Raw genomic sequence first — 12,449 nt, 5'->3', positions numbered from 1 at the left:
ATCAAAGATGGAATTTCTTAGCTAAATCATTAAGGAGGATATTAACTATAAGCTGTGCCTAAAGAAGAGAAAACCAGTACAATTTTCAGGGACATTATATTTATTTTAGAACATAGATATGTACTTCTTATCCAAGCTGTATGCAATATGAGGACGTAAAGCTCTATAAAATAAATATAAAGAGATACAGAATCATAAAATAACATAATCTGAGGTATAACTTAACTCATTTTACAGTTTAAATTTACTTTAGAATTGTATACTGAGTTCCACTTGTACATTTTTAAAATGTATTTTATGTTAACATATCAACACACTTTTCATAACACACCAATGAGGTGGATCAAACTTAATAGTCCATTAGGACAAGCATTTTTTAAAACTTCATTTATTTAACAAGTACTATTGAATACCTACTATGTGCCAGGCACGATTTTAGGATCTTGGGATATGTTAAATGCACAAAACTGACAAAATTCTTATATTTTTGTGTAGCTGCCTTCTAACAGACATCTGTGCCACCAAACTTTGTATTTTACTAAGAGAAAATATTATAAATTTACCTTATACCTGGGGCTTGCGGGCCTAACACTCTTTTTTTATTTTTATTTTTTAATTTATTATTTATTTATTTATTTATTTTTTAATCTTTGGCTCTTTGCATTACTATAAGATGTGAGAAAGGAAGTATACTCTGGCGAAAGGGTGCTAAATGATGGTCCCTGAGGAGGAAAAAGAGAAGTCAAGATCACATTTAAAACATTCATATGAGCTTCTGTATAGCCAGAGAACAGTAACCAATTAAAAGAAAAATTGGAGCTTGAACTGGGCTCCCACTTTGAATGTAACCTGGTGTTTCCCCACCCTTTTTGATGACCTCAGCCCAAATATGACTGATTCTCCACTTAGAAAGTAAGGTGAAAAACAGAAGTGTGAAGGAATGAGAGGAATATAATGACTCACAGCTGCTGTTGCCACCATGTGCCTCCTAAGTAATGTCAGATTTGCTTATAACAAGAGCAGAGCTAGTCTCAGTTCATACACATCTCCTCTTATTCATGATCTTATGAATATTATTTAAGGAAAACTAGTATCTGCTTAATTAGCTGGACTCCTTTTTAAAAAGTTGTACATACAAAATTTGCTGTTTTCCAGGCAAATTATTTAGTTGTGTCTGAATGCCAGCTGTCAAATTTATTAACATTTTTGGTATTCTATTTCAATTATGGCATTATGTTTTCACACAGAAAAGCTGTGGAAAAATTAAATAGAAAACCCTAAACATAATGCGTATGGGGGATCTTTTTGGGGTGATGGAAATCTTCTAAAATTGGATTGTGTTGATGGATGCACAATTCTGTAAATTTACTAAATGTCATTCCTTGTACAGTTAAACTGGGTGATCTTTATCATATGCAAAGTGCAGTTCAGTATAAAAACCTTAGATATGACAATGAAGGATTGATTCTTAACTGCACTCAGTCTGGGCTTGTAGAACTAAACACCACAGTCAAAATCAAGCCTACTTTAAATTTTCCTGATTTGCAGGTTTTTAAAACACATATTTTTGGTAGAGAAAGTGATTGTCATAATATCTCTTATAACTTTAGAATTTGTTTTAAAACTTACATTGTGTTTACAGTTCTCTGGGCAGTTCTAGGTAGTTTTGCTACAGTGCAGTATTCTGAAAATTCCACTTGAATGCTCTGATTCGTGGTGATCAGAACAAGTTCTTTAGAAAAAATTGCACCAGGTCTGCAGTAAGGACCTAGGCTGTCAAGCTATGGAGTGGGTTATTTACTGCCAAGTCTTTTCCAGAAAAGTCTCCACTATTGCTGATTCATCAAAACCCAGGACCTCACACTGGGGCCACTATAAAAAGAGGTTTGTGTCACTGTAACTTGAAGTTGAGCTAAAGAGAAGCAAGGGAGCTCAAGTGACTAGGAATTTCATTTAGGATTGTTAGAACAATAAACACATGAATATGTCCTAAACTAACTAGTAAGCTGAATATTCTCTATTTTTTTTCCTTACAAATGGATTAGAACTTTTTTGGTCAACACTTCATGCCAATAAAATCTCATTTGAGATAGTTGATTTAATATAATTCTTTTTTCAGTTTAAGTAAGGTTCAGATCCTTGGTGAAAGGTGGCATTTCCAAGCTTCAGGCATTTGAGAATCTTCCCAGGTTTAAGATAAAGATAACAGTTGTGGTAAAAACTGACTTAGAACTGAGCAGAGCTAGTGTGTGTTGTTTTAAACCAGGAAGGTGCTCACAGATGGCTCAGAGAGAGATTTAGCAAGTCTGTGCTAATCACACTCATACATGGGAATATCTCCACTGAAAACAGCCAGATTTCACTGTGCTTCTCATGTAACTTTCCTATGTAGTTAATAACAGAAATAAAGTAGTTAATGTATTTACTTAGTAAAATACTTAATGCCTTAAAATAGTTCATGTTTCTTATTATTAGTTACAACTGAATATTTAATAAAACCACAATGAGAGCTCATGAGAAGTGGTTTCAATTCAAACTATATTGAAGACACAAAATATTTGCAAAGTTTAGCTTTGGCCAAATAAACTATCGTGGGTTCTTGATGGCTTCACTTCTAGACATTTTAAAATTTCTGTGTTAACCCCAAATAGATTAATTTATCATACCTAATAAATTATGTAAAATAAAAATACAGTGTATAAACAGGTACCATCAGACATAAAAAGAGATTTATCTGTTCCATTATAAACTATTTTTTACAATGTTTTACCACATTTGACACTTAATGTTAAATGTTCATTAACTACACAAATTTAATATCTTGTATTATTAAATATCATTGGCCAAAATATGACAAACATCAAAATTTATTTTAAAATTTCTTTCAGAATAGAACATAAAATGTTTCAATGAGAGGTGATTCAGGAAAGAAAACTAAATTCAATTAACAAATATTTATTGATCAGTCATTATGAGCCAGGCCCGAGATTAAGCTTTGAGCATACAGTATAGAATAAGACTAACATGTTTTCCAGCTCTCACAGTGTTTACATTCTAGTTGGGAAATAGAAAATAAACAAATACATTAAGGAGGTAATTGCAGGTTTGCAAGACTTCTATAGACAGAATTAGAAGAGTGATTTAATAGAAAACAATTGCAGGAGGCATCTTTTAAACAAGGTGGTCAGAGAAGGCCCCAGAAGAGATGACATTTAAACTGAGACCTGAAGGAAAAATGACAGAGGATCATTTTCTAAATTAGCTGTAAATTAACAAAATCATAGCAGAAAATATCTCCCAGCCCTAGTTGGCTCATACTATTAGTAGTAGAGCAGACAGCTGGTATGTGGGTTGTTCCAGAGAAAGAAGGCCATATTGGATAATATATTTCTGTATTTGTTTCTAACTTTTATTAATTACTCAGATTAGATAATTACTTGGCTTATAGAATGAAATTTTTATTTTTAAAATCTATAAATGACCCCAGTTTAATGAGAGAGACAAATTTTAACTGGAAGTATTAAGTTTAAATGGTAGGATACTATAATGTCAGCAATGACAAGTGTGTGATAATTTAAGTAAGGAAAAAAAATGGAGTAGTATGAGATTGAATAGAACTGACTTTTCGTTATTACTGAATGAAATATGTATGAGAACTTACAGACAACTACAAACTAAAATTAGCTACCAATGAAGATTTTAAAAAATGAAAGTACAAATTTTTAATGCTGTTAGGCATTTATTATATTAATTGACCGAAGGAAAATGGGCAAATATGATCTTCATAAAACTCCGAATTTTTATTATCCCATGATAGTCTTAGTTATTGCAATGAGACATTCCAGTTTTTGTAATTGTCAAAGACTTTACTGATTACTCATCCCATAGCTACTCCCCACCCCACCCTTATTCTTACTAAAAGAACAGCAATTTTGTGCAGATATCAGGAAGTGGAGTGCTTTTGGAAAAGCTGGGTCCTTCCTCAGCCACAAAGAGAGAATCATGATTTGTCTAAGCCAATCACGATAACCTCATTTCCCTTACCAGTGATTAATTTGAGCAGTCATATGATACAATACTGACCAAGGATACTTGAAAAGGAGCCAGTGTTAAGGTGCACCATGCTTCTGGGAAAAGTCTTTCTTACAGCCTAAGAGAAAGACTCCACTCGAGAAGTACAACTACCCCATGTTGCATTTACTTTTGATGTCAGGATTTGGAGCTCATGGAAGGAGCCAGTTTACATGAGCCAAGTTGCTGAAACTAGCAGATTGGAAGGATGTAAAGATCCTGGGAGTATTTTGATGCTGTCACACCTACGGAATAGCCATCTGTGGAAATATCCAACATCTGGACTTCTTGTTATATGAGAATATAAATTTGCTTATTTTAATTTTAGCCTCTTTTAGGTAAGTTTTAGTCATATGCAGGTGCATGGATCCTTATTCAGTGACTAGCTCCTGGTCTCAGATATTATTCAATGGATTAACTGGACATACTCTCTTGCAATCCAAATATGCAGTAGATTTCGTGTTTCAGCATAGATAGGACAAACTACCTTTCCCAGCAATTAGATGGGTTTTTCACAATGCCATGTTCTTTGTGTACATAACTACAAGTTATTATAATTATATCATTGGTCCTTAAAATCTTCCAGAGAAAATGTTATTTAGTAGTTATCTCCTTTGAAAGGCTAAGTTGAAATTTACCAAGCAAGGTGTTATCTAAGATAGTGGTCCTCAAACTTTTGGTCTTGGGAACCCTTTAAATTCTTACAAGTTACTGAAGATAATTAGTTCAAAACAAAAAGCTAAAACAAAAATTATTAAGGACCCCACAAACCTCAGGTTTATGTGGATTATATCTATCAATATTTACTGTATTAAAATTAAAACAAAAATTTGTATATATATATATATTCCTTTAAAATAACAAACATCTCTTGCATATTAACATAAAATATGTATTTTTTAAATTCCTGTATTTTCCCACAACTAATTTCTTTGAAAATCTCTATAAATTTTTGCCTAATATGAGGTGAGTGGTTTCTCATGTCTGCTCTACATTGTTTGTTACCGTATGTTGTCTTGGTTGAAGTACATGGAGAAAACACAGTGTCAAACAGACGAGTTTGGAAAAGGAAGGATTTTGTGGACCTCTTAACTGCATTTTCTGGAGATTCCCCTAGAATTCCGCATACTTCTTAAATCACTGATCTAAGGTAACATAGTCAGACTACAATGATAAGACTTTGAAAAGTCATGTTGATTTGTTTTTTATCATCAGCTAGTTACAAGATAATACTGACAGATTAGGAGAGTTAGATCTAATTCTCCAGCTTCTCAGGAAAATTTCACTTTCCATAATCAAAGTGAATATAGCTGGCTCATTCTATTAGCCAACCAAATCTTTCTTACCTCTAAAACTGTATTAAAGCAAATTTTAAAGACTGAAGTGAGATGATATGAGCTCAGAATTACTTGTGGGATACTATATCTGGTAGGTTGTGCTATCCAGTAATTCTGGGGTATTCATGCTGAGTACATGGTAGGATTTCACTGTCTGCCCCTTGAAGTTAGATATGACCATGTGACTTTAGTCAATGAAATATGAGTGGAAGTGATGTGTCTGATTTCTCAATGGAAACCTTAAGAACCAGTGGGCAAGTTGTCATGTTCTCTTCCTTCTTGAAGGAAAAGATTCCACTGGCCTGAACATGGAAGATATGGAACAGAGCTTCCTGCTCACCTGAAGTTAAACCTTTGTTGTTTTAAACAGGCCATGTGACGTCAATCAATGAAATATGAATGGAAGTGATGTGTCTCATTTCTGAATGGAAATCTTAAGACCCAATGGGCAATTTGTCATGTTCTCTTCTTCCTTGAGGGAAGAGATTCCATTGGCCTGAAAATGGAAGATAGGGAACAGAGGTTCCTGCTCACTTGAAGTAAACCTTTCTTGTTTTAAACAGTGAGATTTTGGAGTTGTTATTGTGGTATAACTCAGCCTGTACTTTATGATTCACCTTACTTTATGATCTATTAATGAAGAGTTCTATAGAAGCAATGATATAATAAAAAATTGTCTTTATACTTTCAACCAGTTAGAAGATCAGATAGTGATTATATTGTTTTTGACCAAAGATTTATAGGGAAAGAAATATATTGAATTTGCTCTTTGTAGCAATTTATAATTCTCAAAACAGTACCAAACAGAGATGAATTTCTAATATTGTTGCAGGTAACATTTTGAAATTGTTTTTCCAAAAAGAAACTTTGTTCATTCTAAAAATGTTCATCAACTGAAACTATGTGAAGACTGCTAGGTTCTAGGAAGATACATTGATGGCCTCCACCCTCATGGAGTGAACCAACTCCCAAAAATGTCATTGGGGTTAGGAGTCTAAGTGAGACCTTAGTCCTCCCCTTTTTTTTCTTGAAAAACCATCTGTTTTGTTATATATAATAGAAACTCAAATTCATGGTGACTTATACAAAATAAAAGTTAATTTTTCTCTCATATAAAATAGTCTACCAGGTAGACATTCCAGGGTTGGTATAATAGCTCTTTTTTAATCAAGTTCTTCTGTCTCTCTGCTTCACCATCCCTAGGGTATGGACCTTGCCTGTGTTGCCCAAGATAACTGCTAGAGATCCAGGCATCACATTTATACTCCAGGTGATAATATAGTAGCAGAAAAAAAGAAAGGTAAAAGGGCTTGTGCCTGATGTCTTTTAAGGAGGTGTCTTGGAAGTTGCCATGTTACTTTTCTGTTTGGTCTCCTTTGTCAGAATTTAGCAATTTAGCCACACCTAGCTGCAAGGGAAGCTGTCAAATATAGCCTTCATTGTGAGCAAACTTATCTCTACCTAAAAATCAGGGTGGTCATTACCAAGGAAGAGTTAAAGAATGAATATTGGAGTGGCAAATAGCAGATTCTGCCACATTGTTGTATAGAAGATATTACTTAAAACTACTTGCAAGAAGTTTTATTGGAAGAATAATTTAAAAAAAAAATTGGTTCCCTACCTTCATACTTACAGACTTAGTGGAATCTGGGAGTCTAGAGCTATTTGCCTTTGTTCATAGCACTGAGCATAGTTTGAGCAAGTTTTCTCAAGCACTGAGCAAGGTTTCTTTAAGTTTGGAAATATGAGATAACAGGATAAATTGATCCACTGTGGTCACCTGAATCATCTAATGCCACCTGGAGAAGATTATATTTGAGAGGCAATCTTTTGGCCATGGCATTTTTTTAACTTTTAATATTGTGTAATTTCAAACTTATGAAAAGATTACAAAGACTCCTATATGTCATTTGCCCAGGTTCACCAATTATTAAACATTTTGCCCTGCTTGATTTCTTGTCCTATCTCTATATATACACATACATATTTTTCTCAACTATTTGAGAGTAAGTTGCAGACATCATGCCCCTTTATCCCTAAATATTTCAGTATGTTTATGCCAAAATCAACAACAATCTCTCATAACCACAACACAATTGATAAAATCAGGAAATTCTACATTGATACAATAACTATTATCTAATCCCCCTAGTCAGTATTCAAATATCATCAATTGCTCCAATAATGTCTTTTATACCTCTTTTCTTTTCCTAGCCCAGGATTCAATCCAGGATCATGCACTGAATTTAATTTGCATGTTTCTTTAGTTTCCCTTTGTCTGTGACAGCTTCTCAGCCTTTCTTTGTCTTACATAACCTCAGCATTTTAAAGAGTACTGCCCAATTATTTTGTAGAATATTCTACAATTTGAGTAAATCTGATGTTTTTTTCATGATTAATTCAAGTTATGCAAATTTGGGAGGAATAAGTCAGCTGTGACATTGTATCTTTTTCAATGCATCCCAACAGGTGGCACATACTGTGGCTTTGTCCTACTATTGTGATATGAACTTTATTCACTTGCTTAAGTTAGTGTCTGTCAAGTTTCTCCATTGTGAAGTTATTTTCCCTTTTTAATTAATAAGTAGTTATAGGAAGATATTTTGAAACTTTATAGCTACCTGTTTCTCATTAAACTTTTACCACTAGTTTTAGCATCCATTGATGATTCTTGCCTAAATTTATTACTATGATGATTGTTTCAAAATTATGACTTTCTAGCTCCATCATTCATCCTGAATTCATTAGTTGGCATTCTAGACCTTAGTATTTTGATTTGTAAAAATACAGCAATCCTATCATTCAGAATTCTGTTTGATATTTAAATCTATGGGTGTGGAAAAGAATAAAGCAATCTGTAGTATTTGTAAAGTGAAACTCTTGAAATTCTGTCTTTGACAGCAATATAATTCTGAGTGGTTTTCTTTTTTATACAGAAAACTGAGGTATGTCCTAGGCATATTACAATAAGGATTTGGAAGAGGCCGGGCACCGTGGCTCATGCCTGTAATCCCAGTACTTTGGAAGGCCGAGGTGGGTGAATCAACTGAGGTCAGCAGTTTGAGACCAGTCTGGCTAACATGGCAAAACCCCGTCTCTACTAAAAATATAAAAATTAGCCGGATGTGGTGGCGTACACCTGTAGTCCCAGCTACTCAGAAGGCTGAGGCGTAAGAATTCCTTGAACCTGGGAGGCAGAAGTTGCAGCGAGCCGAGATCGCGCCACTGCATTGCAGCCTGGGCGACAGAGCCAGACGCCGTCTCAAAAAAAAAAAAAATTATTTTAGATAAAGAAACTGAGGCACTAAGGGAAGTTGAATAACTTGTCCAAGATCCCTTAAGGGATAGGTAAACACAGAGCTTAAGTTTGGACTCAAGCCATTCAATTCCAGGGACTGCTCTGTAACTACTGTGTTATAAATAATCAGTGGCTAGAATGGAGTACTAGAAGTACACACTAGACCACACAGCATCTAGGTGGCTTGTCTATGAAAAACAGGGCTCCTTTTCTGGGCTTATGAGTTTATGGTTATGTTTTCATCCAGTTCCCAGAGCAGATTATCAGGAGCAAGGCTGTTCTCACTTCTGTGAGACCCTGAAGTTGTATTTGTAAGTGATAGCTAAGAAAAGTTGTATTACAATAGATACCTAGATATTAAAAGTTCTGGAATTTATATACCCATTGATTATTTGCAGTCTATCTAAAATTTTTAGAGTATAAGACAAATTCCTGACAAATCCGGAATTTGTCAGGGTCGACCTTTCCAATCTTCAGCTGTGATCGGGAAAGAGCATTTACCTGGTGTATGTCCTGGGGAGGAAGAGTCTAACTGCTGCAAATACAGATTTTCAGCTAATTCTGTTTTCAGCATCTCCACACTTTCTCATCTTCAACAGTACCGGGTGCCTCCAATCTCTAAGCCGTCCCAGGGCTCTACAGCATGAATCAGCTTGTTTCTGGCTGTTTCCTTCTCCCATTGCTGGTTTAGGTATCGGCTTTCTTCAGACTGATGAGTCAGTAGCTGGTCCTCCATCCACTCCTCTTCTCTTTGTCCTTGAACATGTATGCATTTTTGTTGTCGTTGTTCCTTTACCATCATCTGAGCAGGATTCATGAGAGACCTGAGACAAATGCGTGGGTTCAATCCACATTTCCATATCTCTTTAATCATATGACTGAAGTTGGACTGAAGCAAAACCAAAAAATCTCTAGGTCAGTATAAAATCAGAAATGTGTACTCTTATTCTGATAGACTATTACTGATAAACTGCTGAGGCAGAAGCTAGAGGGATTTTTTTTTTCTTAATCAATGTTAATTCTAGCAAGATGGTGTCAGAGCTGGTTTCTATTGACAATTCTACTGACAAATGTGCCATAATAAACATAATACATATATGTACACATAATACCCACTGGTTTGTTGACACAAATTAGTAGTGAATCACATGATGAGTTCAAACGTGATTGTTTTGGGAGGGTGATGAAATTACTTCTCAACCTTTGCCCTGCGAGTAGCCCTGTCTTCTCTTATTTAATAATTGTTCTATCAGAGTCTGGCTTAAGGAAAAGAGAATTTATTGGGATAATATCAGGGGCTCATAGACTCAATGAGAGACTAGAATTCAAGCTATGGAATGACAAGAACACAGAAACTCAAAATGGCTGGTGCTGGAAACAGGAAACAAAGACTGTCGCCCAAAAGGGACAGGCTGGTCACAATGCTGCTGCCGAGGCCACCACTGTACAAGATTGACCACCAAATTGCTCCCGTCCTTTGCTGTATACTCTTGAGAGACACTCAAGGTCAGGGGATGCCCTCTCCCTGTCCTAAGCTACTATAAGGGGATGTTATTAAGTTGTGCACTACTGTGAGAAACTGGACTTGATCCTGCCAGGACCTTCTGATGCGTGTGTAGCCTGCCTCTCAGGCTTATTCACTCACCAATAAGGTGAGCTTAGGTCAGGCTGAGGACGGATCTCTACCCTTGGGTTTCAGCTTCTGAGCAATGAGACATCAGAGCCAGGAATTCCTAGCCCCCCAAAAATCCCCATAAAGAGATCAGGGTGCTTTTGGGAAGGGGAATGTGCATCAGACACCTGCTTCACATCCTGCCAGCCTCAGCACTGTTTGCAGCCTTGGCTTTGGCAAACAGTACTGTGTAAGATTCAGATAGTTTCACACTGACAGCACCTTGCCTCCAGCATGCTCTGAGCATCTTTTGCTCTCTGCCTGGGGGAAACTGTTTTAACACCATGGAAGACATCTCAGCATGCTCCAAGCACAGCCCTGAAGTCAGGGGAGTCAGTGCCTTCTGGGGCCACCTCAACCAATGGGTTATGGATAAATAATTCTCCCTGTTGAATTGTCTATCCTTCAGTAGACAATTCTAAAACAGCCTCTGCATGCTTCAGCAGATCCTGGTGGGATCAAGCCCCAGCTGCCCACTGTGGAGAATAACTTGGTATAAGACCCTTATGGTAGTTTTTCTCCTTCCTTCTTTTATAATTTTTTTAATTATAATTTTTTAATTTATAATTTTTATAATTCTGGTCCCTTCCTCTTGCTTCCTATGATCACATGCTAGATAAGCCTCCTGTACACAAGTCCTTGTTTTAGGCTCTGTTCGGAGAAAACCCAGGCTAAGACAGACTAAATGTTTAGGAGACCACACAAAGTCTGATCAGGGATCATGTCCATGAAATCAATGAGCAACACTTACGTGGGTCCTGTTTATTCTAATCTTAAATATTGCAAACATAATACAATGTAGCCAAGGTATCAGTAACTGGTGTCCCATCTCAAAGGAGTGAGGACAGTTCAGTCTTCCCAAGTACAGATGTTGGACCTTTCTACCATCTCACTACCTTACTAGGTATCCAAGATGTGACTTCCCTTGGACTCACAGGCATCTTAAGTGCAGTGTGATATAACCAGTGGATAATCAGAAGTAATCTCATAACAGTATTTCTTACAAATATGTCCCTCCTACTGTGTACTCACTGGGTATGATGCTGGGGCCCCTAGGGTGAAGTTCTCTTGGGAATTAAAACTAAAATCCACTGGGTTTTAGTCATGACAGGCTAAGCCATGCTGCAGTAACAAATAAGCCCTAACATTCACTGACTTTACACAATAAAAGTTTATTTCTCACTTAGGCAAAATCCAGTGCAAATGTTCCTCATCAGGCAGCTTTCCAGGGCAGGTGTCTTCCAAGTGAAAGGGAAAGCAGAATCAAGCATAGATAATTTCTTATGTTCCAGGCCAGGAAGTAGCCTTCTTTATTTCCACTCACATCTAATGACCCAGAGCAAGTCATACTACCCCACCCAGACCCTTGCGACTAGAGACCTTGTGTGAGCCCAGGGGGATATCTTTGATAGAATGCTTTTATTCAGTGAGGGCTGGACCATCATAGAAGAGGACTCCTGTCTCTCCTCTGGCCCACTCTTAGGACTGGGCATTTTTCCTTATTGGGCCAATTCCCCCAGGTCAATTCCCCAGGCTTCTGGGGTCCCATCTAGTATCACTTATCTTTTGCTCCTTTGCTCTTCAGTCTTCCCCATCCCCACAATCTCTTTATCCTTCTCCACGCCCTGTGTTCTCTCACAACAGACTTCAATGGCTCATTAAATCTAGAGCCTAGATTAAAAGCTGCAGAAATAGCCAACTCCCTTTCTTCAAGGGCATGAAGAACTCAGTCTTTGAACTCCCCCAGGGAGTAAAAGGAAATTATTATATTCCATCCTTCTAATTCAGCAAAGAAATGAGAAAGAATAAAACACACTTTCATTCTTAAAAGGACCGAATATTTGTATTCTACTATGATTGTTTAATGTTCCCCTTTTCCCATTCCTCACCGTCTCTTACTTGGTCTTGTCCTGAGTCTTGTCCTCTACCCTACAGATATTGTTGTCCTCTAAAATGAAAATCTGACCAAAGCATTCCACAGTTTAGGAACCTATAGTAGTTCCCAATAATCCTAAAGATATATTATCTTTATTATATCTCAAAACACTCAACAGGATACCTGTGGTAGACA

The 12,449-nt window shown here is 36.5% G+C and overlaps 1 annotated feature.

Moving 5' to 3' along the window:
- Positions 9,282 to 9,482: a silencer, noted in NCBI's record as "peak5930 fragment used in MPRA reporter construct". NCBI's record gives its function as "represses an SCP1 promoter by STARR-seq MPRAs in K562 erythroleukemia cells {active_cell/tissue: K562}" and the evidence as "EXISTENCE:reporter gene assay evidence [ECO:0000049][PMID:32103011]".

This window comes from Homo sapiens, chromosome 6, assembly GCF_000001405.40.
Source record: "Homo sapiens chromosome 6, GRCh38.p14 Primary Assembly".
Lineage (NCBI taxonomy): Eukaryota > Metazoa > Chordata > Mammalia > Primates > Hominidae > Homo > Homo sapiens.
This window is presented reverse-complemented; position numbering and strand designations above follow the sequence as displayed.